The 25,264-nt window shown below is 64.2% G+C and overlaps 5 protein-coding genes, 1 long non-coding RNA gene and 1 other non-coding gene across 19 annotated transcripts in view, besides 8 other annotated features; 4 read left to right on the top strand and 3 right to left on the bottom strand.

Moving 5' to 3' along the window:
• SSNA1 (SS nuclear autoantigen 1) lies at positions 426 to 2,116 on the bottom strand. Its single transcript, NM_003731.3, has 3 exons — positions 2,014 to 2,116; positions 1,527 to 1,726; positions 426 to 985 (listed from the first exon to the last, which is right to left on the bottom strand). Exons 1-3 carry the CDS (start codon positions 2,063 to 2,065, stop codon positions 878 to 880), a joined length of 360 nt encoding a protein of 119 aa, NP_003722.2. The 5' UTR covers positions 2,066 to 2,116; the 3' UTR covers positions 426 to 877.
• Positions 1,725 to 2,074: a silencer, noted in NCBI's record as "silent region_20588". NCBI's record gives its function as "represses an Ori minimal core promoter by ATAC-STARR-seq in GM12878 lymphoblastoid cells {active_cell/tissue: GM12878}" and the evidence as "EXISTENCE:reporter gene assay evidence [ECO:0000049][PMID:35858748]".
• Positions 2,105 to 2,324: an enhancer, noted in NCBI's record as "active region_29347". NCBI's record gives its function as "activates an Ori minimal core promoter by ATAC-STARR-seq in GM12878 lymphoblastoid cells {active_cell/tissue: GM12878}" and the evidence as "EXISTENCE:reporter gene assay evidence [ECO:0000049][PMID:35858748]".
• Positions 2,232 to 16,008, top strand: ANAPC2 (anaphase promoting complex subunit 2). 4 transcript variants are annotated; one of them, NM_013366.4, is made up of 13 exons: positions 2,232 to 2,376; positions 2,689 to 3,311; positions 4,436 to 4,568; positions 5,705 to 5,879; positions 7,001 to 7,120; positions 7,550 to 7,667; positions 8,930 to 9,111; positions 9,863 to 10,004; positions 10,265 to 10,340; positions 10,408 to 10,611; positions 14,955 to 15,084; positions 15,320 to 15,555; positions 15,638 to 16,008. In NM_013366.4, exons 1-13 carry the CDS (start codon positions 2,260 to 2,262, stop codon positions 15,848 to 15,850), a joined length of 2,469 nt encoding a protein of 822 aa, NP_037498.1. In that variant the 5' UTR covers positions 2,232 to 2,259; the 3' UTR covers positions 15,851 to 16,008. The 4 variants fall into 4 exon arrangements, with proteins under 4 accessions (NP_037498.1, XP_047279230.1, XP_047279232.1 ...); XM_047423274.1 differs by lacking the exon at positions 15,638 to 16,008 and adding an exon at positions 12,676 to 12,724 and having other exon boundaries at positions 15,320 to 15,419; XM_047423276.1 differs by lacking the exon at positions 15,638 to 16,008 and adding an exon at positions 12,676 to 12,724 and having other exon boundaries at positions 15,277 to 15,322.
• LOC124902315 (uncharacterized) lies at positions 13,011 to 18,660 on the bottom strand. Of its 3 annotated transcripts, none has more exons than XR_007061879.1 (3): positions 18,414 to 18,660; positions 17,462 to 17,634; positions 13,011 to 15,775 (listed from the first exon to the last, which is right to left on the bottom strand). It is a non-coding gene; the product is annotated as an uncharacterized LOC124902315 (long non-coding RNA). The 3 variants fall into 3 exon arrangements; XR_007061881.1 differs by having other exon boundaries at positions 18,597 to 18,660; XR_007061880.1 differs by having other exon boundaries at positions 15,690 to 15,775; positions 17,462 to 17,551.
• Positions 15,160 to 15,993: an enhancer, noted in NCBI's record as "H3K27ac-H3K4me1 hESC enhancer chr9:140069251-140070084 (GRCh37/hg19 assembly coordinates)". NCBI's record gives its function as "activates a minimal SCP1, AML or CMV promoter by ChIP-STARR-seq in naive H9 embryonic stem cells {active_cell/tissue: H9 hESC(naive)}" and the evidence as "EXISTENCE:reporter gene assay evidence [ECO:0000049][PMID:30033119]".
• Positions 18,661 to 18,735: 75 nt separating the features above from the next.
• TMEM210 (transmembrane protein 210) lies at positions 18,736 to 19,934 on the top strand. The gene is made up of 4 exons (NM_001282477.2): positions 18,736 to 18,852; positions 19,016 to 19,151; positions 19,349 to 19,378; positions 19,628 to 19,934. Exons 1-4 carry the CDS (start codon positions 18,765 to 18,767, stop codon positions 19,815 to 19,817), a joined length of 444 nt encoding a protein of 147 aa, NP_001269406.1. The 5' UTR covers positions 18,736 to 18,764; the 3' UTR covers positions 19,818 to 19,934.
• LRRC26 (leucine rich repeat containing 26) lies at positions 20,741 to 22,034 on the top strand. Its single transcript, NM_001013653.3, has 2 exons — positions 20,741 to 21,521; positions 21,607 to 22,034. Exons 1-2 carry the CDS (start codon positions 20,849 to 20,851, stop codon positions 21,936 to 21,938), a joined length of 1,005 nt encoding a protein of 334 aa, NP_001013675.1. The 5' UTR covers positions 20,741 to 20,848; the 3' UTR covers positions 21,939 to 22,034.
• Positions 21,029 to 21,088: a silencer, noted in NCBI's record as "silent region_20587". NCBI's record gives its function as "represses an Ori minimal core promoter by ATAC-STARR-seq in GM12878 lymphoblastoid cells {active_cell/tissue: GM12878}" and the evidence as "EXISTENCE:reporter gene assay evidence [ECO:0000049][PMID:35858748]".
• Positions 21,249 to 21,768: a silencer, noted in NCBI's record as "silent region_20586". NCBI's record gives its function as "represses an Ori minimal core promoter by ATAC-STARR-seq in GM12878 lymphoblastoid cells {active_cell/tissue: GM12878}" and the evidence as "EXISTENCE:reporter gene assay evidence [ECO:0000049][PMID:35858748]".
• MIR3621 (microRNA 3621) lies at positions 21,522 to 21,606 on the top strand. The gene has a single exon (NR_037416.1). It is a non-coding gene; the product is annotated as a microRNA 3621 (primary transcript).
• Positions 22,009 to 22,118: a silencer, noted in NCBI's record as "silent region_20585". NCBI's record gives its function as "represses an Ori minimal core promoter by ATAC-STARR-seq in GM12878 lymphoblastoid cells {active_cell/tissue: GM12878}" and the evidence as "EXISTENCE:reporter gene assay evidence [ECO:0000049][PMID:35858748]".
• GRIN1 (glutamate ionotropic receptor NMDA type subunit 1) overlaps positions 22,036 to 25,264 on the bottom strand; it is a 29,603-nt gene continuing 26,374 nt past the window's right edge. For 4 of the 8 annotated variants that reach the window (NM_001437330.1, NM_001437331.1, NM_007327.4 and 1 more), the window contains one exon: positions 22,036 to 23,381. In NM_001437330.1, coding sequence (NP_001424259.1) covers positions 23,265 to 23,381 — 117 coding nt within the window. In that variant the 3' untranslated portion in view covers positions 22,036 to 23,264. The remainder of the gene's footprint in view (positions 23,382 to 25,264) is intronic. The other 4 variants (NM_001185090.2, NM_001185091.2, XM_005266071.4 and 1 more) reach the window with 1 other exon arrangement.
• Positions 22,238 to 23,102: an enhancer, noted in NCBI's record as "H3K27ac-H3K4me1 hESC enhancer chr9:140062142-140063006 (GRCh37/hg19 assembly coordinates)". NCBI's record gives its function as "activates a minimal SCP1, AML or CMV promoter by ChIP-STARR-seq in primed H9 embryonic stem cells {active_cell/tissue: H9 hESC(primed)}" and the evidence as "EXISTENCE:reporter gene assay evidence [ECO:0000049][PMID:30033119]".
• Positions 22,349 to 22,468: a silencer, noted in NCBI's record as "silent region_20584". NCBI's record gives its function as "represses an Ori minimal core promoter by ATAC-STARR-seq in GM12878 lymphoblastoid cells {active_cell/tissue: GM12878}" and the evidence as "EXISTENCE:reporter gene assay evidence [ECO:0000049][PMID:35858748]".

Genomic DNA, 25,264 nt, shown 5'->3' with positions numbered 1-25,264 from the left:
AACTGAGGAACCGACGGGGGTGGGGGGTGTGAACTCCCCCCAGTCCTTGCTGAGAGGGACCTGAATCTGAGGCAGCTGCTGGATATGCTTGGCATCCCCAGCTGTCTCTCTGGGCTGGGTCCTATGCTGGCCACCAGGGTGTGGCAGAGAACAGGACGAGCAAGCAGAGCTCCTGAGAGGAGGGTGAGCCGTGGGCCAGTCAGGGGAAGAGGACCGGCGGCCCTGCTGGGGAGGGCTCAGGGTGGGGCTGGCCTGGGGAGGGTGGGCACCCTCAGCGGTGTCCCTGAGGCTAGTGGGGCAGTCACAGGGAGGCCACTCCAGACCCTCCTCCCTCCTCTCCCAAGGGGGAGCCTCAGGCTCTGGCTCTGCAGGTGTCTGGCAGCCCCATGCTGTTGATACGGGCAAGCAGCAGGCTGGCACGGATCTTTACAAAGATAATCTTTATTCATAATCACAGGCCACAGGGGTGAGACCTGAGGTTTGGGTTCTGTGGTGAAGGAGAACCCCTGTCCTCCTGTCCCTTGCCCTGGGCCTCTGCTGGCTGAGGAGGGACAAGGTGAGGGGGCCCCCATGGTGCTCAGACAACCAGAGCCTCCCTGGCAGGGCAGGAGTGTGGGTGCCACAGAGACAAGCCCCTTGCAGAGCTGACCTGGAGCCCACCATCCCCATAGCCTGTGTGAGCATGAAGCGAGGACCCCCGGGTGGGCTGTGCCCTGGGCTTGTCACTGATGCCAGTGGAGGCTGGCACCTGCCCCTCTCGGCACCTGAGACAGTGAGGGAAGGTAGCTGCTGCCGTGAAGAACAAAGATGCTCTGAGCACACACTTGCTGGGGCTGAGCTGAGGGGCACACGGAGGCAGGCCCTGCCCGTGGTCTGGTCAGCTGTCCCTGCCGCCGCTACTTTTCTGGTCTGGGGCTGTAGCCTTGGTCAGGTTCCCAGCTTCCCTCTTGAGAACGCTGAGCAAAGTCTGGGAGCTCTCCAGGATCTGGGGCCAGAGAAGTGAGAAGGTTGTTAATGTTCACCTGTTGGTAAGGTCCTAAGCCCCAGCTGTCCTCACACTCAGGTGCTGGGACCTGGCTGGGGGTGCTGTAGCCAAGGGATCCTGTGTGGGGGAAGGCGGAAGCCCAAGGGGACTGGCAGACGGGGTGGCAGGGCCCTCTTCCCTCCGGAATCTGACCCAAAACACTTCCTCTCCACCCTCAAAGCCAGGCTGGGTTAGCACTGGCCCGTGCTGGGTGCTCTGCCCAAGACCTGGCTCTTCACACTGAGCAGAAATAACCACATGGCTAGCGAGAACCGGATAAAGACCAGGACCCAGGATGCCCCAGGCCCCACAGACAGCCCCACAGTCACTCCCACAGCAGCCTGGGTTCCTCAATGGGCCTGGCCACGCTGCCCCTGCCCGAAATGCCAGCGAGGCACAGACTGCCCACAGCCGGGAGCCCCAGCCGGTCCTGACGCCTTGCCGTGGCAACACCCCTGCCGTGCCTATCCCCTGATGCTCGGCCTGGCCTCCCGAGCTCCACCTTGAGGTAGGCGGCCTCCGTCTCCGCGATGGTCCGGTCGAACTCGTTGCGAGAGGCAATCTTGCGTGCCAGGTTCTCGTTGACGCGGGCCAGCTTCTCTGTCAGCTGCCTCACCTCATTCTGCAGCCGCTGCTTCTCGTCCTCCTCCTCCTGGATCTGCCGGCACAGCTCCTCCCGCTTCTGGCACAGCTCCTCTATGCCTGGGGGCCGGGAGGGGCGGCGCTGTGGGCCCAGGGCAGGAGCGCGGCGGCGGAGGGCGGGCCTCCTTCCACCCGAGGAAGCCAGAGTCAGGCACCACCCCCGAGCGCCCGGCGCGGGGCCTGCGAGCCAGCGAGGGCTCGGGCCACGGACACCCGGCCTCCGGCACGGAGGGCTCTGCTCAGCCGCGCGATGCCCGCAGCGAGGCGGGTCCAGGGGCACCCCGCTGCGAGCCGGGAACCCGGCCCTGCGGCCCTCCCGACCTCCCCGTCCCGGCTGCGCCGCTCACACTTGACCAGCTCGTTGTTGTAGTTCTGCAGCGCCGCGCCCTGCTGGGTCATGGTCAACGCCGCCCGGGGCCCCACCACCCCAACCGCCGCGGAAGCAGCGCTGTCCGCGCCTGCGCACGACTCCCCCACGGCGCGCCGAACTAGCGCGTCATCGCTGAGCGCCTTGTGCGCGTCATGGCTGCGCGTGCAGACGTGCGTCATCGCCGCGCGCCGCGCCGAGCGAATCTCGGAGTCGGTGGGTGCAGATGGCGGCGGCAGTTGTGGTGGCGGAGGGGGACAGCGACTCCCGGCCCGGACAGGAGTTGTTAGTGGCCTGGAACACCGTGAGCACCGGCCTGGTGCCGCCGGCTGCGCTGGGGCTGGTGAGGCCTGGGAAGAGAGGGGCGGCCCCGCGCGGAGTTTCCGGGACCGTACGCGCTTTGGGGCCGCTACCCTCGGGTTCATACGGCTCTGTCCATCATCCGCCTCTGTCCTGTCCTGCCATTTTCCACCACCTTTCCGTTTCGTTTCGTTCAGCTCCGCTGACAGCCCTTCCATAGCTTCGGCCCAACGTCCGGGCAGCACGGACAGGGGGCAGCGGAGTTTTTGCAGCCTCCCCCTCAGCTTCTTCCCTTCCCCGCCTCTCCCCACCTCTATGTTGTGTTCCCCTCGCCTCACGGTTTTCTGCACCCCAGGTGTCTTCCCGGACCAGCGGTGCAGTCCCGCCAAAGGAAGAGGAGCTCCGGGCGGCGGTGGAGGTTCTGAGGGGCCACGGGCTACACTCGGTCCTGGAGGAGTGGTTCGTGGAGGTGCTGCAGAACGATCTGCAGGCCAACATCTCCCCTGAGTTCTGGAATGCCATCTCCCAATGCGAGAACTCTGCGGATGAGCCCCAGTGCCTTTTGCTACTCCTTGACGCTTTTGGCCTGCTGGAGAGCCGCCTGGATCCCTACCTGCGTAGCCTAGAGCTGCTGGAGAAATGGACTCGCCTGGGCTTGCTGATGGGCACTGGTGCTCAGGGGCTGCGAGAAGAAGTCCACACTATGTTGCGCGGAGTCTTGTTCTTTAGCACCCCCAGAACCTTCCAAGAGATGATCCAGCGTCTGTATGGGTGCTTCTTGAGAGTCTATATGCAGAGTAAGAGGAAGGGGGAAGGGGGCACAGACCCGGAACTGGAAGGGGAGCTGGACAGCCGGTATGCCCGTCGCCGGTACTACCGGCTCCTGCAGAGCCCGCTGTGTGCAGGGTGCAGCAGTGACAAGCAACAGTGCTGGTGTCGCCAGGCTCTGGAGCAGTTCCATCAGCTCAGCCAGGTCTTGTGAGTAGTCTGTCCCGATGGCCATGCCCTTGCTCCTTCTGGTTCCCCGCTGCTCCCCTGGGTCCAGCTGGCCTCAGCAGAAAGCTGGTGAGCCGTCCTGATAACCAGGAACATGACAGAGAGAGAGTCCCAGGGATTCCTGTGCAGCGTGTCCTGGACACAGGTGTCTCTCTTCTGTCACTCACCTTCAGTCCCACAGATTCATGCCTTGACCCTGGTAAGGCCCTATGTGGCTTGTGTCTGCAGCAGCAAATTTCTTAGCAACTCCAAACTTCCTGGACTCTGCAGAATTCCACTGTGCCTTTTGTCGATCCTGGGGAGGAATGATTCTCACCCTCGTCGACATTCCTTGCCCTGTAATTGTGAACAGAAGCTTGCTGCTGCTTCTCTCCAGGAAGATCAGGTCACTGTGAGGGCAAGCAGTCTCTTGTTAGTTTGGAGAGGAGAGGGGTTTGTTGTGAGAGACAGGTCCTGTTGTAGTTCTCTAGCAATTGTCATACCCTTGGCCATTTGTGGTGGTTTTGTCACATTGAACGGGGGTGTAGCCATGCAGCTACTTGAGAGGTCTTAGGTGGACTAAAGGTGGACTAAAGGAGTGCTCCTTTTGCTGGCAGGGGTCAGGGAGACCGTGAAGGGCTTCTGTTGGGCTCATCCCTGCAAAAGTTACACGGCAACTTTTCTCATCCTCCTCTTGAGTCCTTTTGTCACTGTAGACCAGAGACTGCACTGAAAGGCACAAACAGTGGCATCTGTACCTCTGCGGCCAGGGTAGCAGTGCAGTTGGTTGTCGTTTCAGAGTTGATCCTAGGAGATAAGGCTAGGGCCCCCGACAGCCACACCTGCTGCCACTGATCACATGGGGAAGGCCAGTGTCCCTACCTGGATAGAGGCCAGCTGGGCGGGGACAGCAGAGCCTGGGAGTGCTCTGTGCTCCCAGTGGCTTCTTGAAGCCTTTGGTACAACCGCCCCCCACAGCTGAGGATTGTGGGGAGGTGTGTGCTGGGTGTGTGTGTGTGTGTGTGCTGCATGCACTCTACAGGCAGGGCAGTCCTGGCATGGGGCTGTTCTGGGCTAGAGGGGCCGGTGTGTGCTCTGGGTGCCCCATGGCCAGGGCTCTCCTCTAGACACAGGCTCAGTCTGCTGGAGCGGGTCAGTGCCGAGGCTGTGACCACCACCCTGCACCAGGTGACCCGGGAGAGGATGGAGGACCGTTGCCGGGGCGAGTACGAGCGCTCCTTCCTGCGTGAGTTCCACAAGGTGAGGACCCCTCCCTTGGGCTGTGCCCCGCTGGAGACAGGGGAGTAGGTTTCTGGCAAACCTGACACCTGGCTTCAGAAGCATCCAGAGCACGGAGGCCTGGGTGGGCCCAGACCGGGTGGTGGCTGGAGCTGTCTTGATGTGGGGTAGAGACCAGTACTTCTGGGCCCTGGTGATAGCGAGGACGCATCTGAGGTGCGCTCTTCGGATCTGCGCAGAATCCCATGGCTGCAGGCGGTATCGGGCCAGGATCCCGAGGGGGCTACCTCAGGCAGGTGTGGCGAAGCTGGGCCCACCAGAGGAGCCACTGAATGGATCCCCTTCTCCTGTTTGCTGCCCTACTTGAGTGTGGACTCGCTTGGCCGGTCCCTAATGGACTGACCTACAGCCAGCCTGCACCACAGCGGGGAGCGAGACACCCTCACATGGGGCCTCCAGGCACCTGTGCTGTTGGGGTGTGGTCTGGGGCTCTGCTCTGGGCTCCCGGAGCCATAGGGGAGCTGGGCCCAGCCATGTGGGTCCCCCCATCCTGTTCCCATGTGTCACCTGTCCTTTCCTCAGTGTTTCAGAGTCCCCCTACTGAGGTGCAGATTGGCTGTGATGTTGGGTTTTCAAAGAGGGAGGGTGTCCCCAAAGCGGTGGGCAAGAGTGGGTAGTAGGGTGGAGAGGGTGAACATCCGTGCGGTCTTGCCACTGGGTAGCAGGTCTGTGGGGCATGAGCACGCCTGGGCCCCGCGGCGGAATTGCCACCTAGAGGTTTGTGCTCGCCTGGGCCCCCCGGCTGGTCTCAAGGGCGTGTTTATCCATTTAAGTGGGGGCAAGTGTGCCCACCAGGCACAGCGCACAGGTCGTGTGTGTCTGTCATGTCTCACGCTAGGGTTGCTGCTGCCAGTGATAAGTGTGGGCACTGGCGCGTGTGAGAGGCACGAAGACTGCAGGGGGGCCGGGACGTCGCCTTTTGGGCCATCACCCACCCTGCAGGTTTTGATGTGCTCCAGCCTCCAGACGCAGGTGGCCTTCGGGCTCCCCTCGGTCCCGGCCGACAGGGTGGGTGGCCGTGAGGCTCCTCCCAGCCTCTGAGTCAGCCCGGGGCTCACCATGCCTCCCTGCAGCTCACACTAGCGTTCTCCTGACAGTGGATCGAGCGGGTGGTCGGCTGGCTCGGCAAGGTGTTCCTGCAGGACGGCCCCGCCAGGCCCGCATCTCCCGAGGCCGGCAACACCCTGCGCCGCTGGCGCTGCCACGTGCAAAGGTTCTTCTACCGCATCTACGCCAGCCTGCGCATCGAGGAGCTCTTCAGCATCGTCCGAGGTGGTCCTGCCCCGGCCCTGGGGTCCGCTCTCCCGTCTGGGGAGTCTTCCCAGGGCCTTCCCCGTGTCTCCTCTGTGTCTGCATCTGGGCTCCCTGTGCCTTCACCGTGTCTGCTCTGTGTCTGCGTCTGGGGCTCCCAGGGCCTTTGCCGTGTCTGCTCTGTGTCTGCGTCTGGGCTCCCTGTGTCTGCGTCTTGGGCTCCCTGTGCCTTCGCCGTGTCTGCTCTGTGTCTGCGTCTGGGCTCCCTGTGTCTGCGTCTGGGCTCCCTGTGCCTTCACCGTGTCTGCTCTGTCTGCGTCTGGGGCTCCCAGGGCCTTCGCCGTGTCTGCTCTGTCTGCGTCTGGGCTCCCTGTGTCTGCGTCTGGGGCTCCCAGGGCCTTCGCTGTGTCTGCTCTGTGTCTGCATCTGGGCTCCCTGTGCCTTCGCCGTGTCTGCTCTGTGTCTGCGTCTTGGGCTCCCTGTGCCTTCACCGTGTCTGCTCTGTGTCTGCGTCTGGGCTCCCTGTGTCTGCGTCTGGGCTCCCCGTGCCTTCACCGTGTCTGCTCTTTGTCTGCATCTGGGGCTCCCAGGGCCTTCGTCGTGTCTGCTCTGTGTCTGTGTCTGGGCTCCTTGTGTCTGCGTCTGGGCTCCCTGTGCCTTCGCCGTGTCTGCTCTGTGTCTGCATCTGGGGCTCCCAGGGCCTTCGCCATGTCGGCTCTGTGTCTGCATCTGGGCTCCCTGTGTCCACGTCTGGGGCTCCCTGTGCCTTCGCTGTCGCTCTTGCAGGGGGGTGCACCGGGCAGTGCTGGGACTGTCCCCACTGCGGCGTCCCCCGTGCCTGGATCAGGGCAGGTGTGGCAGATGCTGGACAGTGCTTCTGGGTGTCCACTGCTGTGCTGCCTTGGCCTTGGCTCCTGCTGGGGACTGGCCCCTGGGTGTTGCTCTGTCCACCCTGTGGCATTGTGGTCAAATGCATCAGCACGCCAGAGTGTCGGGGGGATGTCTGGTGCCTAGCAGGTGGTCTCATCATCGTCCTGGGGCTGGCAAGCACGTGTCCTTTCCCACACCGCACACACTCTGCACCAGCCTGCACGTGCGCACGCATCCATGTCTGTCCCTGAGGGATGTTCTTCTTCTTGTAGACTTCCCAGACTCCCGGCCAGCCATCGAGGACCTCAAGTACTGCCTGGAGAGGACGGACCAGAGGCAGCAGCTGCTCGTGTCCCTCAAGGCTGCCCTGGAGACTCGGCTCCTGCATCCAGGTGCTGTGTGCTGCCCGGCCACCCAGCACTCTGGGCTTAGACACTCACCAGGGGACCCATGTCCAGGGAGCCTGGGGCCTAGTCTGCCAGCCCTGGACTTGTAGGTCTAAGGAAGAAATGGGTTGAGAAGCAATTGGTGAGGTCCTTAGGGGATCTGAGGTGCCCGTCAGCTTGCTTGTTTCTTCTTTGGAGGGAGTCAGGACTGACCGGTAGGTCTGAGGTGATGAGACTTAGTTCTCTCAGAACAGACCTCCCTGCAGGGCGGGACCTGTGAACAGGTAGAGGTGGGGATGGGGGGACAAGGGAACGAGGCTGCAGTGGGGACCTGTAGACCACCTACCGGCATGGCCAGCTGTCTACTCGGGTGTTGCCCCTGGGAGGCTGTGGTCCCGGGCACTGCATGACTGCTGGCTTCTGCCCTGGCTGTAGGCGTCAACACGTGTGACATCATCACCCTCTATATCTCTGCCATCAAGGCGCTGCGCGTGCTGGACCCTTCCATGGTCATCCTGGAGGTGGCCTGTGAGCCTATCCGCCGCTACCTGAGGTGAGGGCTGCAGCTGGCCCAGGAGCCACTGGGACCCTGGGCATCCTGCTGAGCTCCTCGTGGTCCTGGGGGGCAGCCGGAGGGTGTGTTCGGCCGTCAGGACACAAGGTCTCCCCCGGCTGGGCTGAGTGCACGGGATCAGGCCCGAGGCTCTTTCCTTTCCTCTTGCCCGTGCCGGGCACCTGTCCTTGTCACACGGTGTCACCGTGCCCTCTGTGTGCAGCTGCCAGAGGCCCACCACAGCCCTTCCTCAGCCTCCCCATCTCCAGCACAGAGAGAAGCTCTTCCACTTGGCCTCGCCTTGGTGCTGACCAGTCCCCAAGGCCGACCAGGCAAGGGGAGTGGGCTCTGCTGTCCTGGCCTTTCCCACGGCAAGGAACAGACACTCCTGGGGCTGTTCGGTGGAGAATGTGTTGGGATGAGGACCTTGACATGGCTGCCTGGGAATTCCTCAGGGGTCGCAGAGGCCCTGGCCCGGGGCTGGCAGGCACAGTGGCCCCCAGGAGCCGAGCAGCAGGAGCCGGTGGAGTCTGGCCCCTACCTGGACTCCTTTGGTGCTTTGTGGCTGTAACTGGCCTGGCTTCTGAGCCAGTTCTTTGTTTTTTCTTTTTTTTTTGAGATGGAGTCTCACTCTTTCGCCCAGGCTGGAGTGCAGTGGCACGATCTCTGCTCACTGCAAGCTCCGCCTCCCGGGTTCACGCCATTCTCCTGCCTCAGCCTCCCGAGTAACTGAGACTACAGGCCGCCACCAAGCCTGGCTAACTTTTTGTATTTTTAATAGAGATGGGGTTTCACCATGTTAGCCAGGATAGTCTTGATCTCCTGACCTCGTGATCCGCCTGCCTCGGCCTCCTGAAGTGCTGGGATTACAGGCGTGAGCCACCGTGCCCGGCCCTTTTTTCTTTTTCTTTTTCTTTTTTTTGAGGCAGGCTCTCGCTCTGTTGGAGTGCAGTGGCAGAATCCTGTCTCCCTGCAGCCTCGGACACCTGGGCTTAGGTCTTCTGGCTTAGTGTCCCTATGTGCTGGGATTGCAGGTGCGCAGGCCGGCCTTGCGCTCGCAGCTCCTGCTGCTCCCAAGTAACGTTGGGTTTATTTGTTTTTAAGGAGTCTGACGGGCCTGTGTTTAGTACATAGCCCATCACCACTGAGTGTAGAGGCAGGGTCGGTGGTGCTGGCCTAGATGGGGCCGGGACTGGAATGAGTGGTGGGAGGTGCGCGCGGGGTGTCCACACTGTGGGCCACAGCAGCACTCACATCGGCAGGACGCGGGAGGACACAGTGCGGCAGATTGTGGCTGGGCTGACGGGGGACTCGGACGGGACAGGGGACCTGGCTGTTGAGCTGTCCAAGACCGACCCGGCGAGCCTGGAGACAGGCCAGGACAGTGAGGATGACTCAGGCGAGCCAGAGGACTGGGTCCCGGACCCTGTGGATGCCGATCCAGGTTAGCTTGCCCCACATGGTCCCTTTCACCAGTGTGGGGGGCGCTTCAGCCAGGCCGTCCGCTCTGGACTCATCCCTTGTCACAGAGCTTGGCTGTGTCAGGTGTCGCTAGTGTCTCAGAGGCTTGAGGGTGTCAAAGGTCAGGGCAGTGCTCCGCCACCTGCCAGCCTGGGCAGGCCGGTGATGGGCTGTTTTCCTCTGTGGCTGGTCACTCTGGCCGTGGGGGATGCCCTGCCTCCCACCGCTTGTGAGCTGTGGGGTGTCCCTGCCCCGCCACTGCACCTGGCAGAGGAGTGAAGATGTGGGTGACCCCTGAGCTCTGTACTGATTTGGGCCTCAAAGTCCCGTTAGGGTGCCAGCTCCTGCTCAGAGCCCATCTGTGCCTGGCCCTCGTCTGCGAGGGCTCTGAGGGCTATGGGGCCCAGGCCTGGCCCCTGCCCTGGCACAGATGGTAAGTCTTCAACACATCTTTAGTCTCTCTCAGAGGAAAACCCCAGGACCTTTGGCTTGTCCCCTAAGCCTGCATGGGAGTCCCGGAAGGTCCCTGTGGGGTGAGAGGGGCTGGGGATTGAAGCTGTTGCTCCAGGACCTGACTCCAGGTCTCCCGGGAGGCTCAGGGCTGCTCCCAGCCTCGAGGGCCTTCAGGAAGAGCCATGCTGGGCTGTGCCGTCTGGCTGGGCGGGATGGGAGGAGGGCGGCCCTGTCCTTGCCCAGGTGCCTGTCAGGTGACACCCCTGCCCCCACCATGCCAGGGAAGTCGAGCTCCAAGCGGCGTTCATCGGACATCATCAGCCTGCTGGTCAGCATCTACGGCAGCAAGGACCTCTTCATCAATGAGTACCGCTCGCTGCTGGCCGACCGCCTGCTGCACCAGTTCAGCTTCAGCCCCGAGCGGTGAGGCCTGTGACGCGCTGGCCATCTCCAGGGGTGCCGGGGCCTTTGCCCAGCCTCTCTCGGGACAGGGCCCTGACGCCGTGCCTGGGGCCTGGTTGGAGCTGTGCTTCCGCCCCCACTCCTGGCTGGGGGTGTGCTAGCCATTGGGGTGCCCACACAGGCTCCCTGCTCTGCCTGGGGGGCACCCCCGTGCCCTGCCACAGGTGCTCCTTGGGGCTGGGGCTCATCACGACCCCCTGCCCAGACACTCGTCTTTCCAGGGAGATCCGCAACGTGGAGCTGCTGAAGCTGCGCTTTGGCGAGGCCCCAATGCACTTCTGTGAAGTCATGCTGAAGGTGGGTCCCAGCCCCGCCCGCTGCCCGGCCGCCCCGCAGGTCCCCCGTGACACCGGCTCCTCCTCAGGACATGGCGGACTCCCGCCGCATCAATGCCAACATCCGGGAGGAGGATGAGAAGCGGCCAGCAGAGGAGCAGCCACCGTTCGGGGTCTACGCTGTCATCCTGTCCAGTGAGTTCTGGCCGCCCTTCAAGGACGAGAAGCTGGAGGTCCCCGAGGATATCAGGGCAGCCCTGGAGGCTTACTGCAAGAAGTATGAGCAGCTCAAGGTACCTCCATGCCAGGCCACCCCATGGGCTCTTGGCACCCCTACCCTGCACTGCGGGGCTCCCAGCAGCCTGGTGCCTGTGGCTGCCCCGTTGTCACCCGAGTGTCTCTGGGTTGGTCCTGTCTCGCAGCCGCCTCTGCAGGAGAGGGAGTGGGCCTGGCCCACGCTCTCTCCGCCTTCCTCCCAGCAACCCCGTGTCCCCTGTGAGCGAGCGTCCGCGCGGCCCACAGGCGCTTGGGTGGGCTGTGCTGGGCCCAGGTCTCCTGAACTGCTTCAGGGGGACCCCTGTGGCCACAGCAGGCCCTGCCCTCTGAGCGTTTCCTCCTCTTTTGCTATCCACCCTCTGCCTCTCAGAACCGGGGCTTGGGGTGCCTTGCGTCACTGCAGGGAGGCAGCTAGGGAGCCAGGGCTGCCCTCTGCCCAGGGCAGCACTCCCAGGCGCACCTGACCCCCAGGACCCCAGCCCTGCCCCCTTCTCCAGGTCTGTTTCCTCGAGAACTGCCTTTGCAGGCTCCAGTGGTACTTGAGGACCGGGGCTATGGGTCTGTGGTGGGAGTAGGAGGGGAGCAGATGTGGGGAGTGGAGGAGTGAGCCCTGGCCTGGAGGTCACTGGCAGATGGGGACAGTGTGCCCAGAGGATGGTATTGGCCACGTTTGGCTCACTTCCCCTGGCAGCACTGCTGAGATCCCAGCAGTCCCAGTACAGGCGTCCAGAGCCTGAGGGATGGAACTAGGCTTGGCGGTTCTTTCCCTGAGCTCATAGTCAGGTGGGAGGTGTCAGCTCGGGGAGGAAGGGTTAGGATGGTCGTCACAGGTGGGAGGTGTCGGCTCGGGGAGGAAGGGGTCGGGATGGTCGTCACAGGCGGGTTCCAGGGCTTTCTGTCTGATGTGTGGGGCCTGTGAGGCCTCCAGTGTGCCCAGCGAGTGCTCAGGACTGGGGGGAGGCGGGCACCCCAGCGGGGGACATGTGAGGAGAGGGTTCTGGGGCACAGCCAGCATCCAGTCTGCAGACCCCAACCCCAGGTACCCCAGGAAGGGGATGGTCCAGCCTCGGCCCAGGCAGGAGGAGCAGCCTCAGGACAGAGCCGCCAGGAGGCCGGCGGGCGGGCGGGGCTGAGTTCAAGGGAGGGTCCACAGCTTCTCCAGGTCTGCTGTGAAGGAGGCTGGACCTAGATGTGTTTTCCTTTTTCTTTTGCAAGTAAGAGGGCCTTGCTGTGTTGACAAACCAAGGGAACTTACTCCTAGGGGAGGGCAGGGCGATGTGTCCACTTTAGAAACCAAGGGGGAAGCTTCCTTCCGGAGACAGACAAGGGGAGGGCCAGGCGGAGGCCCCCAGGGCAGGAGGCCAAGGGGCTGTGGTAGGGCCGGGCTGCTGACCATGGTGGCGAATGCCTGCTGCCTCCCTCCAGGCCTCAGCTTGGCTCTGGAAGAGTCCAGGTGTCCCTTGCAGCTTGTGGAGGGTCTGTGTGGCTTGCACCTGCTCTCGGTGGAAAGGAGCACCCTGGCCATCCCCACACCTCGAGCTCTGGCCTGTGATACAGCCTGGTGTCTCTGGAGCCTGCGGGCACCGTGCCCCGCTGTGTTCTGGTACAAATCATCCGTGTGGCCCGGCTCCGTGCTCGGTCCCTTTCCCCCTGCCCCTCTGGCTGCCTCAGGCTCTCCAGCGTTGCTTCCAGGCAAGGCCCCAATGGCCTCCCTCCAGGGTCCTGCCTTGGGTCCCAGGCATGACTCAGCCACTTCCTGTTGCTCAGGCCTGATGTGCTGGGACAGCCACACTCTAGTGCCCTTTGTCTTAACTTCAGTGGGACACAGGAGTGGCTCAGGGAGGCCCCGGGGCTGTGCTGAGAGGTCCCACCAGCAGAGCTCCTGGCCGAGCGACCTTGTTGGACACGTGGCTGGCCATGCAGCCCACAGCGTCACCCCTGAGCCCTTGCATGTGTCCTGCGGCAGGCTGACCAGTGGCGGCGTTTGTGGAGGTCATGGCCTTGGAGCCAGAACTAGGACCTAGCAAGCCACTGACTCCACTTCCATTTTCTGTCCATAAAGAGGGGTTTGTTTCCATTAGAAGCTGCCGGATCCTGGAAGGACTCAGGAGCCCTTGGCCCACAGAGCAGGTGTGTCAGTGCCCCAGTGCTACCAGAACAAAGTACCACAAACCAGCGGGCTTAAAAGAAACATATCATTTTACAGAAGTCAGAAGTCTAAAGTCAGGGTCAGCAGGGCCCTCCGAAGGCTCTAGGGGAGGCTGCTTCCTCCCCTCTTCCAGCTTCTGGGGGCTCCAGGAGCTCCGGGGCCTGTGGGTGCCTCGCTCTGGTCTCTGCCGCGTCGCCCGTGATGTTCCCCCGTGTCTCTGTTCCTATCTCCCTCTTAGAAGAACACTCTCTCTATTCCAGGGTGACGTCATCTTAATTATATCTTTAATGACCGTATTTCCAAATAAGATCTCATCAGAGGCACCGGGAGTTAGGGGTTCATGTGTCATTTTTCGAGGGGCACAATTCAGTGCATGACAATTTGCCCCATGGTGGGCCCCTCCCACGTGCAAGTGACAGCCCCAGTGTCCCCAAAAGTCTTCACCATTTCAGCATCAACTCCAAGTCCAAAATCTCATCTAACTACCATCCACACAAAGTTCCACACACATCTCAGCCTGTAAATGCATCTTAACGAGGTCCAGGTGAGGCTGGAGTGTGCGCCATTCCTCTACGTAAATAGATCTAAACAAGGTACAGGTGAGGCTGGAGTGCGCGCCATTCCTCCAGCTGGGACGCCGTGAAATCAGCCAACAGATGATCTGTTTCAAAAGTTCAGCCGTAAGACAAGCATACACATTCCCACCCCAAAAGGGAAAACTGGGAGGAAAAAGGACAGCGAGTCCAAACCCAGCAGCCGAAATTCCACTTGACTTCCAGGCCTGCGAATCCTCTTTGGCCCCCTGCTCCGTCAGCCTTGGCCTCGGCGGCTCTGCTCTTGGAGCCTGCCTTCCTTTCACTCCAGCCTGGCAGCACTTCTGCGGGTGTAAAATTCTCACACCTTGTTGGCTTATGCAGCTCACCAGTGCCGAAGCCTTCAGACAGGCGGGTCCGCAGCCCTTTCCCGGAGGCCCCACCTGTCCCTGTCTGCTGCTGAGATGGTTAGTTGGATACACAGGTCACACCTCATGTCTAGCAAACCCTGGTCCAGCCACACCCTTGGCCACGTCTCAGAGCTGCCTGGATAGAGTATTTTTCAGATCCCCAAGGGCTGGTGCCTTTTTGCTTAATGGTCCCTGCCTCACTGATTGTTTCCCTCTTGCATTCTGCTATAAGTAGCAAGGAGAAGCCAGGTGGCACCTTCCACACTGCTTGGAAATCTCAGCTTGATGTCCAGGCTCATCAGCTGCAGGTCCCACTTCGCACCCAACAGCAGAGCAGCAGCCAGCCAAGCTCTCTGCTGCCTCCTCCGGTTCCCAGTAGCACGGTCATTTCCATCTGAGACCTCACTGGAAGCACCTGTTGGGTCGGCATTGCTGCCGACATCCAGTCTGTGATGCTGTGTGCATTCTCCAAGACGGCGGCAGCTCTCCTCTTCCAGCCATTTCCAGGCTTGTCTTCATGCCTTTCTACCAGCAGTCGTGCAGGCCTCACCAGTTCTTCCAGCCTCTCCCCATCACCCACTTCCAAAGCTGCTGCCACAGTTCTTGGTGTTAGGTTTTGGCAGCACCCCTCCTGGCCCTTCCTGGTACCAAAATCTGTTCGTTTACTGTGGCTGCTGTAACAAAGTGTCACAAACTGGGTGGCTTAAAAAACAGAAATAGATTGTCTTAGTTTTGGAGGCTGGAAGTCCAAGATGAAAGTACTGGCAGCCCCGTTCCCTCTGAACCCTCTTAGAGACCTCCGTTGCCCCCCAGCTTCTGGTGTTTGCCACAGCCCTTGGTGTTTCTTGGCTTGTGGCCGCGTTGCTCCAGGTGGTCTCTGTCTTCGTGTGGCCCCCTCCCCGCCTGCCTGTGTCTTCCTATCTTTCCTTTTCTTAGAAGGACCCCAGTCAGTTGGGTTAGGATGCACCTCAGTTACATCTGCATCAACCCTGTTTGCAAATATGGCCACATTTCCAAGCACTGGGGGTCAGGAGGCCCCTGTAGCCTTTTCGGGACACACCTTATGATGCTGGCCCCATTGCCCTTCCATGGTGGCTGAGCAGGTGGGGACCCCACCCAGTCCTGTGCTCTCGCTGCTCACCTGCCTGCCAGGGTGGGGTGGGGCAGGTGGCTCTGGGAGCCCCTTTCTCACTGGTACCAGGTGGCAGAGCCCACGGGCCTGAGCGCCCTGCAGCCGAGCTGCCCGTGCTGACCCTGGCCCTCCTTAGGCCATGCGGACCCTCAGTTGGAAGCACACCCTGGGCCTGGTGACCATGGACGTGGAGCTGGCCGACCGCACGCTGTCTGTGGCGGTCACCCCAGTACAGGCGGTGATCTTGCTGTATTTTCAGGACCAAGGTGAGCCCACCAGCCCCTAGCTGGCCTGCCCCGGCCACACGGCCCAGCTGTGGGTGAGGGGCTGTTCCCCAGTGAGGGTGTGGTTTGGGGCAGCTGCGCCAGCAGGCGGCACCCTTCCCTTTCCCACGGGCAAGGCAGGGTGGCCCGGGAGCCCCCCGACCTCTCGGCTGACGGGAGGCAGGGGAGGTGCAGCCCGTGCCCAGGCTGCCCAGCGTCCCGGTGACTCTGCACGCAGCCAGCTGGACCCTGGAGGAACTGAGCAAGGCGGTGAAGATGCCCGTGGCGCTGCTGCGGCGGCGGATGTCCGTGTGGCTGCAGCAGGGTGTGCTGCGTGAGGAGCCCCCCGGCACCTTCTCTGTCATTGAGGAGGAGCGGCCTCAGGACCGGGACAACATGGTGCTCATTGACAGTGACGACGAGAGCGACTCCGGCATGGCCTCCCAGGCCGACCAGAAGGAGGAGGAGCTGCTGGTGCGCGTGCAGGCCCCACGGGGGGCCAGGGGGCGGGGGCGAGGCCTGCAGGTGCCTGACGGGGGCTGGCCTGTGTCCGCAGCTCTTCTGGACGTACATCCAGGCCATGCTGACCAACCTGGAGAGCCTCTCACTGGATCGTATCTACAACATGCTCCGCATGTTTGTGGTGACTGGGCCTGCACTGGCCGAGATTGACCTGCAGGAGCTGCAGGGCTACCTGCAGAAGAAGGTGCGGGACCAGCAGCTCGTCTACTCGGCCGGCGTCTACCGCCTGCCCAAGAACTGCAGCTGACACATCGCCCGCCCGCCCGCCCGCCCGCCAGGCGCTGCCCTGCAGGTGCTCTCGTCCTCCCGTGCCAGCCCCCGCCCGCCCGTGTCCCAGAATGCACTGCTGAGGAGCATGCCCACCCCCACCCCCGCAGTGTGCAGATTAAAGCAAGTCAGATCATCCTTTTCTGTCCTGGTGGCTTTGTGGGGCCCCCCAGGATCCTCCTCTAGCCTGGGCCTCTCTCTCAGCCTGGCAGGGCCTGCTCCTCAGCAGCAGGTGAGGGGCCACCTAGGCCTACACATCTGCACTGGGAATGTAGCCTCCTGAGAGAATCCCGGGCCGCCCCCGACCCAGGGTGCTCAGGGAGCGGCACGTGAAGGTCCACGTCACGCCCGGGCCACGGCTCAGGCAGCCACGTCCTAGGGCTTAGTGCTTGCTACCCGCCAGACCTCCAGCTCCATTCCTGCGCCTCTGGCCTTTAGAAGGAGCCCTGGGGTCACCCTCTGCTCAGCCTGTGCCCACCTCCACACGCTCGGCCAGGAGGTCTCGGGCGAGGTTGGGACGTTGTGCGGGTTCGGTTGGAATTGCTGAGGCTGGCGAATGACCTCTAGGCCAACACGCCTCGTCTCTGGCAGTGAGGCTCTGCCGAAGGCTGTGCCCTGGTGGCCAGAGGGACTGGGCACTTGTCCCCTGCTCCACACTCAGGCAGGGTGGCCGGAGGGCTCAGCTTCACAGGTGTGCCTCAGAAAGGCAGGTCGCCCCTACGTCCTTCACACGTGTGGTCACGCGTGTGCAGGCTGCCCAGGTCCTGTCCTAGAGGCTGGCACTAGGAGAGGGAGACGCCACAAAACTGAGCAAGGGCCCTAGGGTCCAGTTCTGGGCTCTTCTGCTGCTCAAACCTGGGCCTCTGTCCCAGAGGTGCCGTTTCCAGGCCAGACACGTTCCACCCCGATGGCGCCGTCCTCGCGGGGGACAAAGGCCCTTTGAACTGGTGCCTCGAGTCCCGCTCCTGCTGCAGCGCCTTCCCAGGCTGTGAGCTGCGCCTGGTTTCAGTGCTCCCACCGCTGTCCCCAGATGCCCTTGCTGGTTCCCACATGTCCACGGTCCTGGGCTCCTGCAGCCGCCGCCCAGCACCCTCCCACCTCTCCAGCTCTGGCCTGATGCCCTTGCTGGTCCCATGTCCATTGTCGTGGGTTCCTGCAGCTGCCGCCCAGCACCCTCCCACCTCTCCAGCTCTGGCCTGTTTGAGCCGTCCCGTTCAGTGGACATTCCTGCACCCTCCTTGCTCTGGAGAACTCTTGTTTGCCTCAGGGCTTGAAGGAGGAAGTGGCCGGGATTAGGCAGGCGCCAGATGCACAGCCTGTGCCCATCAGGCCTCTGCCCCGCCAAGGAGGGCTGCTTCCGCCTGTGCGGTATCTCCCCTCTAGCCCTGGGCCCTGCCACCTGCTCCACTTCACTCCAAGGCTGTCTGTGCTGCTGTCACAAAAAGAGGGACCCCTCTCCTGAATTCTGGTGGGATGGTCCCGATTGCTCTGATGCCCCCTCAGAGCAAGGTGGCCTTGCCTGGATCCCGCTGTCTGTGGCCACCACCTGGCCCCAGGCTGGGTGTGCCATTGTCCTAACCAGGATACAAACCTGCTGGGCTGGCCTGTCGAGTGTCACTGCCAGCCTGGCTCTGGTACACCTTTTGTTCTGTGTCCTGTGGATTCCATCTCTGGTTGTGTCCTGAAGACAAGGGCGAAGGGTGCATCTCGGGTCACGGTGTCACTCGGCAAGTCAGAGGTCGGAGGACCCCAGCAGGAGGGTGCCTGTCAACAGGCGAGGGGGTCCCTGGTGCCCAGGGCCACTGGGGCCAGACTGTGCCCACCCCCCCCACCCCCCGTGTCCCATGTGTCCTGAGCTGGCAGAAGGCCTGGCCTCCGTTGGCTGTGGGGCAGGTGTTTCCTTTTGCTGCCTGGCGGTTTGCTTGGCAGGTCCAGAGGAGGGGAGGCTGGGAGGGCAGGGGCCTCTCTCCCAGCCTGGAATAGCAGGTGCAGGGAGGAGGCTGAAAGCAACCCTGGCCATGCCGGCCTGCGGTCGACTTCCTTGGGCAACGCTTGTCTTTTCTGCAGAGGGGAAAGCTCCTGGGGGCTCCAACTTCAGTGACACCTTTAGTCTGGAGCCTTGGGGGATGTCTGGGAGGCAGGGCTTGGGGTCCTGCTCAGACAGGGGTGGCCAGTGTCCCCCAGACCTTTCCAAGTTGATGGGGGATTCCCTTGGGTGCCGGCAGCCCTTCTGACCTGAGCTTTGCCAGGGCGTGAGCCAGACCCTCCCAGAAGCAGTGGGGAGGGAGGATGGGTGCAAGCCCACCCCCTTAGCCCTCCTTGGCCCCTTCCTGCCCCAGCCCTGGAGGAAGGTGACCTACAGCCAGCTGGAGCCCAGCCCACATGCTGAGCTGCCGCAGCCCTTATGCTGGGAGGGAGCTGAGGCCGAGGCTGCCTGCCGCCCACCCTGCAAGGTTGCCAGGCCACCGCACCCACATCGGGGCCTGGAGTGCTGCCCACCCCCTTTCACTGTGAAGGATTTGGCTGGGCGCAGTGGCTCACACCTGTAATCCCAGCACTTTGAGAGGCCGAGGCGAGCGGATCACAAGGTCAGGAGATCGAGACCATCCTGGCTAACACGGTGAAACCACTGAAGGACTGCCCGTAAGACCAGGCCAGCCCCACTGCTGCCTCTGCCTCAGAGCTGGCCTGAGCTGGCTGGGCTCTCAGGCCTCTGCCCACCCTACCTGTCCCATTCCCAGAGCTGCTTGGCCATGGCTCCTTGAATTGCGGTGCCCAAGGGCAAATGACACACTGGCATTGTGAGCCCCCCCACCCCCACCTCACAGTCCTACTGTGAAGTCAGCACCTTCCAACAGTTCCGTCAGAGGTGTGCAGTGGGGCCAGGGCTGGACATGGCCCCCGGTCCCTGGCCTGTGTCCTGCCTGCGTGGTGGCCCCTTGGGCCTCACATATTTGTCCCTTCTGCTCATCCCTGCTGCAGGTGCCTCCTCCTGCCCCCGCACTCCACTCCCAGCCATGGCTCCCCTTCCCCAGGCAAGGTGGGAGCTCTGGTGTCCTTCTGGTGGCTACCAGGGCAGGGGCAGACTTGGGGGCCCTCTGCAGGCAGGTGACCGGCCCATGGCCATGTGGCCCTGTCTCTGCAGCTGGAACCTACTGTGAATGCAGCCTTGGCCTCAGCCGCGAGGCCCTCATCGCCCTCCTTGTGGTGCTGGCGGGCATCAGTGCCAGCTGCTTCTGTGCCCTCGTCATCGTGGCAATTGGTGTCTTGCGGGCCAAGGGGTGCGTGAACCCTGGGGCCGGGAGAGGATGGGAGTGAGGCCAGGCTGGCTGCCCTGGGCCCTTGGTCTTGCAAGAAGGGCTTTACCCCCTGGGTGGGCTGTCACCTGGGGTAGGAATGGCGTTTCCTAGGCGTGTGCTGGGGGAGCTCCGGGGGCCCAGCACTGTTCCAGGACTCATGTTGGCCTTCGTCCCCTCAGTGAAACATGCCCGAGACAAGTGGACAACAGGTGAGCACCAGGGAGGCCCTCGAGGGAGGCACGCTGTCTCAGGGGAGGCCCTTGGCGGGGGGAGCTATCCCAGGGGAGTCCCTGGAGGAGGAGGGGTGCTGTCCCTGGAGGAGGAGGGGTGCTGTCCCTGGAAGAGGAGGTGTGCTGTCCCAAGGGAGGCCCTTTGTGGGGGTGCACTGTCCCAGACGCCAGCCTGTCCTGGGGGAACAAGGACTCTACCAGCTCGTGATGACCCGGCCCGTCATGCAGGTTGGTGGAGAATTTTGGGGTCCAGGAAGATCTCATGGACCTGCACCCGGTTTACGTGGAGTCCCAGCTAATGGACGCTGACCTGGAGGTCTCCCTGGTGCCACCACTAGAGGATCAGAGCCTTGTGGCCATCCCCATGGAGGCTTCTTCAGAGGAGCCGCCACCACCCCCGCCCCTACCACCTGAGTAGAGGGCTGAGGGCAGCTGGGGGAGGGGAATTAAAGCGTATTTAGTGGCTGTGCACTGTCCTCCCTGCAGGCCCTCCTGAGGGCAGCTGGGGGAGGGGAATTAAAGCTTGTTTAGTGGTTGTGCACCGTCCTCCCTGCAGGCCCTCACACCCCTCACGGCTGCATCATGGGGGGTGCACGCGCATATGGGTCTCATCAAAGCAGAGTGCCCAGGCCCCACAGCAAGTTCCCCTGTTCCTCTGCCCCCTGGCAGTAAGCCATACCCCTAATGTTTCCACCTTCTCTGCCACAGCTGGTCAGCCCGGCTCCTTCCTGCACCCAGCTTTGGAAAGCCCCTAGAACAGGACCTGCAACTGGCAACTGTGAAGGGCGCTGGGTTTAACAGCAGGACTTGGGCTGATACCCCTGCCCCACTGCACTGGTCTGTACCTCTATCCCAGGAGAGTCCTGGGGGGGAGGGGTGGGGCAGGCACGCCTCTCCTGCCTCGGGTGTGCTGTCTCCCTCCACCCCAAGGCCTGTCTCCAACCCAGGCCCTATCCAGCATGGGAATGGGACCATCCCTGCGTGGGGGCCACTCCGCATGTGCACGTTGGGATCACTTTGCGGAGCCTGGGTGGGGTCGAGACGGGTGAGGAGCAGGACCTCTGGGTTGCATTGCGTGTGGGCGCCTGTTGCAGCCGTGAGCTGGGCGGGTGCAGGTGGGCGGTGTCCTGCTGCTCAGGTCAGGGCTCGGCGGGCGCCCGGTGGTGGACAAGGCGGGGTGAGGTGGTCTTGATAGCGCTGTGGCCGGCGCTGAGCCAAGAGTAGTTTGGAGCTCCCGGACAGGTGGCTGGCGGTGCCGGGCGTTGGCTGTTTGCCCTGCCCCCGCCCCAAGCGTGGATCCAGCCGTGGGACAGGAACTGCCTGAGCTCGGGCCAGAGAGTTAATATTTGTGCAGGCGCCGCAGGAACGGGCTCCGCGGACGACGGGCTCCAGGGACGCACAGGCAGCGGGCCTCCCACCGCGGGTGCCGGGGGCGGGGGGGCTGCCCCCATGCGGGGCCCTTCCTGGTCGCGGCCTCGGCCGCTGCTGCTGCTGTTGCTGCTGCTGTCGCCTTGGCCTGTCTGGGCCCAGGTGTCGGCCACGGCCTCGCCCTCGGGGTCCCTGGGCGCCCCGGACTGCCCCGAGGTGTGCACGTGCGTGCCGGGAGGCCTGGCCAGCTGCTCGGCACTCTCGCTGCCCGCCGTGCCCCCGGGCCTGAGCCTGCGCCTGCGCGCGCTGCTGCTGGACCACAACCGCGTCCGTGCGCTGCCGCCAGGTGCCTTCGCGGGAGCGGGCGCGCTACAGCGCCTGGACCTGCGCGAGAACGGGCTGCACTCGGTGCATGTGCGAGCCTTCTGGGGCCTGGGCGCGCTGCAGCTGCTGGACCTGAGCGCCAACCAGCTGGAAGCACTGGCACCAGGGACTTTCGCGCCGCTGCGCGCGCTGCGCAACCTCTCATTGGCCGGCAACCGGCTGGCGCGCCTGGAGCCCGCGGCGCTAGGCGCGCTCCCGCTGCTGCGCTCACTCAGCCTGCAGGACAACGAGCTGGCGGCACTCGCGCCGGGGCTGCTGGGCCGCCTGCCCGCTCTAGACGCGCTGCACCTGCGCGGCAACCCTTGGGGCTGCGGGTGCGCGCTGCGCCCGCTCTGCGCCTGGCTGCGCCGGCACCCGCTGCCCGCGTCAGGTGAGCTGCTGGGGACGCGGGTCGGGGTCTGCAGGGCGGTGCGGCAGCCGCCACCTGACGCCGCGCCTTTGTCTGTGTCCCACAGAGGCCGAGACGGTGCTCTGCGTGTGGCCGGGACGCCTGACGCTCAGCCCCCTGACTGCCTTTTCCGACGCCGCCTTTAGCCATTGCGCGCAGCCGCTCGCCCTGCGGGACCTGGCCGTGGTTTACACGCTCGGGCCGGCCTCCTTCCTCGTCAGCCTGGCTTCCTGCCTGGCGCTGGGCTCTGGGCTCACCGCCTGCCGTGCGCGCCGCCGCCGCCTCCGCACCGCCGCCCTCCGCCCGCCGAGACCGCCAGACCCGAACCCCGATCCCGACCCCCACGGCTGTGCCTCGCCCGCGGACCCGGGGAGCCCCGCCGCTGCCGCCCAAGCCTGAGCGGCCGCGGCCGCCTGGAGCGCTCGAAGCTTCCCCCATGCCTTTGCCCTCCCTTTACACTGTCTGCCGGCGTCAACAAGCGACACAGACCGAAAACTGCGTGACATTCCTTTAGGCATCACCACTGCATACACCGGGAGGTGGGGGTTGGGCGGTGCGCGCCTGCACCCTGGGGACGGAGGGGCAGAGCGCGGCTGCGCACGGGCCGCACGGGGAAGGCACGCGCTCGGGCCCTGGGAGTGCTGGTTCTGTACAAGGTGGCGGGCCGGTCACGCACCCGGAGCGAGGGCGGGGGCGGGCGGGTGGCGCTCTCCCGTGCCCAAGGTGCAGGGCAGGGTTGAAGACAGTCCCGAGCCAGCGTCCGGGGACCCCCGGGGAGGCCCGTTCTGGGCTGCAGGCCGGACGAGGAGAGGAGGGGCTCAGCCCTCTCGAGTCTGGAGGAGGCGGCCCGAGGCGGCGGGAGGCGCTGCCAGCTGGGAAGTCAGGGACGGCCGTGGGGGAGGGCAGGGCCAGCCCCGGCGTGTGGGGTCAAGGGGCAGACGGGGTGTGGGTGGGCGGTGCCGCAAGAAGAGGGGAGGGTGGAGCTCAGGCTGCAGAGGAGCGCAGGCGCCCGAGGAGGGGCGACCCAGCCAGCTGGGGCCATGGGCCCCACTGTGGCTCAGGCTGGTGCTGCGGGAAGGATGGGGCTGCCGTCTCTGCTCCAAGCCCCTCCGCCTGGGGCCAGTTAGCCCCCGCTCCCCACTGCTCAGAGACCCCAGGGCCCTGCCTCTGCCGGAGCGCCCTGCGGCCCTGCCCAGCCGACTCAGCTCTGCCCCGTCCTCAGCCGCTCCGGTCCGCACCTTGGTCCAGCAGGGGCTGCCCGCCAGGCAGCGGGGTGGGCGGGCGGACGGACGGGAGGCCCAGGGTGGGCAGTCTCTGGGGCGGGTGGGCTTCCCTCAGGCCTTCCCGAGCAGCAGGACCCATCAGTGTCCTTGGCCGGGCTAACTGGGCAGGTGGGCGCCTCCGGGGGCCTCACACCACGGTGCTGACCGAGGGATCTGAGAGGTTGAGCGGGCCCGTGATATCAGTGGGATGGTACTGCTGCAAAATAGAAATACACAGACAAGGCGCCCGTTAGCCCCACGCTGGGGGCACGCGCGGGGCCGGGACGGGGTGGACCGGCCAGCCGGCCAACCGGCGGGCGGGCAGGCGCAGCCTGGGGGAGGCTGGGGGTGCTCCTCCCCCGACCCCGTGGTGCTCCGGGGCTCTGCGTGGGCCGGGCCGCTGTCCCGTCCGTCTGTCTGTCTGTCTGCGGGGGAGGGGGCAGAGGAGGGCGGGCGGGGAGTCTCAGCTCTCCCTATGACGGGAACACAGCTGCAGCTGGCCCTCCTCCCTCTCAATAGCGCGTCGCGGCAGCACTGTGTCTTTTTGGTTTTGCAAAGCGCCGCGTCCACCCCCGGTGCTCTATAAATAAGAACCAACAATCAATACCCGCTGGCCCCGCCGGCCGCCAGGGACCCCAGCCCTCAGCGCCCAGTGCCGCCCTGGCCCGGACCGGCCACAGGACAGGGGCAGGGGATCTCCGCAGCCGGACTGACCCCACCCTACCCAAAGGAGCCCCCCACCCACGCCTCCCTCTGAATAAGCTCGCAGCCCCAGAGACCAGGTGGGAGCTGGGCTGCCCTCCCCTGCCCAGACCCCCAGCTGGCAGTGCCCCCCACAGTTCAGCCTTGCAGGGCGGGGCCAGCCCCAGATGCCACGTGATGCCAGAACTGGCCCCAGAGGACGGTCCCTGGTGCCCAGAGAGGCTCGGGTGAGGGTTCCGCTGGGAACATGTCCCTGGGAGGGCACCATGAGGGTCTCTGAGCTGCACCTGGCCTCGCTCCAGGCAGGGCCCTGGGACCCAGTGTCACCCTCTGAAAGTGGCCCATCACCTGCACGACATTTGTGCTTGCCCCCCGTGGCTGCCTGCCCCAAATCGCTGTTTCTCCTGTCTGCCTGGACACCCCCTCTTCCCCAGCCTGCCCAGCCCACGATCCCTGCGCTATTCCCCCTCCCTGTTCCCTGCGGGACTCCTGGCTCAGACTTTGCAGCATCAGCTCTGCCCGCTTTCCGCAGCAGAGGTGGCTCCAGGAATGGTGCTTCCACCTGCTCCTTGAGCCTCCAGTGGCCCCCAGGCCTACAGGCTCTCACTGTCCACCCATCCTGCATGCCAAGTCCCTTCCCCAGGAAGCTGAGCAGCCAGGCCTCATGGGTCCCTCTTGGGGCACCCTGGTGGCTTCATCTCGGGATTTGGCTTGCTTGATGCCAAGTCCTGTCTGTGCCCTGGAGGTCTGCCCCGCTTCCAGTGCACTGAGGGGCAGGTGGCTGCAAATCGCACTTCCTCCCCCGGGCGTAAGCTTCTCTCTGGTGATGCTGCTTATGGGCTGGGGGCTTCCTGTGGGCCAGACTGGTCCCTGGACTGCAGGGTGGCCACGGGGCTGAGGTCTCCGCTGCCTCTCTGGGCAGCCCCTCCCCACCATGGTGCCTGGGCCTGGGGTGCCTCTAGCAAGGCTGGGTTCGCTCTGGGGGCCTCTGGTCCGAGTGTGCATATCCGCTACAGGGACAAGCTGCCCCGAGCAGGAGGTGGGGGATTCTGGGCTCCAAAGGGCAGAAGGCCTGGCTCTTTGGGGTGGGCCTTGTGGGGTTGCTGGGGTCAGGAGCTGAGGTGGTCGTTTCCCTTCCAGAGGCCTCCCTGTCTGGGAACCTCAGTGTCGTCCTGGGCTCTGCAGGCCAGGGCTTGTGGGGCCGCCCCTACCCATTCTCAGACCCTCTGGGAGCTGCCGCCACACCTCCTGCAGGGCCCCCGCTCAGCCTGGGGTGGGAGCCACCCCTTTTGGTCCCACCCCACTCCCTGCCTGACAGTCCCCTGTGGCCGGGGCCAGTTCCAACTCCAGGCCCCAGCCGTCCACCCAGACGGACCCAGGCCCGGCCCCCAGCCCCCGGCCCACACAGAGACCACATGAAGATGCAACACGCATGGCTCTGGTGAGACAGGTGAGACAGGTGTCTGGGGGGCGGGGCCAGTGGCCAGACAGACGGACGGGATGGGACATCACAGCCACCCCCTCCAGGGCCGTCGCAGGGGCGAAGTGAGGGCGGCGGGCCCCTCTGGGAGAGGCGAGAGAAACGGGGACATAACAGAGAAGTGGTGTGGCCTCCCGGCAGCTGAGGAGTCCAGGATGGGGCCACGCTGGGCTCCCAGGGCCCCAGACCTGGCCCCGAGAGGTGGTGTGGCTGACTGACTGACCAACGAGATGACAGGCTTCAAGATGGCGTGTGGGTCATGGCAGGGGAGGTGGGCGGGC

The sequence above is a fragment of the Homo sapiens genome, chromosome 9 (assembly GCF_000001405.40).
Source record: "Homo sapiens chromosome 9, GRCh38.p14 Primary Assembly".
NCBI classification, from domain to species: domain Eukaryota; kingdom Metazoa; phylum Chordata; class Mammalia; order Primates; family Hominidae; genus Homo; species Homo sapiens.
The sequence above is the reverse complement of the archived record's forward strand: the minus strand, read 5'-3'. Positions and strand labels throughout refer to the sequence as shown.

What these genes read in the sequence shown, in the direction of transcription:
- SSNA1 (NM_003731.3), bottom strand. Translation starts at nt 2,065, where the DNA reads ATGACCCAGCAGGGCGCGGCGCTGCAGAACTACAACAACGAGCTGGTC. An exon ending in CAACAACGAGCTGGTCAAGT is followed by an intron (nt 1,727 to 2,013) that starts GTGAGCGGCGCA and finishes CCCGGCCCCCAG; the next exon opens with GCATAGAGGAGCTGTGCCAG. An exon ending in CGGAGGCCGCCTACCTCAAG is followed by an intron (nt 986 to 1,526) that starts GTGGAGCTCGGG and finishes CTCTGGCCCCAG; the next exon opens with ATCCTGGAGAGCTCCCAGAC.
- LRRC26 (NM_001013653.3), top strand. Translation starts at nt 20,849, where the DNA reads ATGCGGGGCCCTTCCTGGTCGCGGCCTCGGCCGCTGCTGCTGCTGTTG. An exon ending in GCACCCGCTGCCCGCGTCAG is followed by an intron (nt 21,522 to 21,606) that starts GTGAGCTGCTGG and finishes TGTGTCCCACAG; the next exon opens with AGGCCGAGACGGTGCTCTGC.
- TMEM210 (NM_001282477.2), top strand. Translation starts at nt 18,765, where the DNA reads ATGGCCCCCGGTCCCTGGCCTGTGTCCTGCCTGCGTGGTGGCCCCTTG. An exon ending in GGTGTCTTGCGGGCCAAGGG is followed by an intron (nt 19,152 to 19,348) that starts GTGCGTGAACCC and finishes TCGTCCCCTCAG; the next exon opens with TGAAACATGCCCGAGACAAG. An exon ending in CCGAGACAAGTGGACAACAG is followed by an intron (nt 19,379 to 19,627) that starts GTGAGCACCAGG and finishes CCCGTCATGCAG; the next exon opens with GTTGGTGGAGAATTTTGGGG.
- ANAPC2 (NM_013366.4), top strand. Translation starts at nt 2,260, where the DNA reads ATGGCGGCGGCAGTTGTGGTGGCGGAGGGGGACAGCGACTCCCGGCCC. An exon ending in CCTATCCGCCGCTACCTGAG is followed by an intron (nt 7,668 to 8,929) that starts GTGAGGGCTGCA and finishes TCACATCGGCAG; the next exon opens with GACGCGGGAGGACACAGTGC. An exon ending in TCTGTGAAGTCATGCTGAAG is followed by an intron (nt 10,341 to 10,407) that starts GTGGGTCCCAGC and finishes GCTCCTCCTCAG; the next exon opens with GACATGGCGGACTCCCGCCG.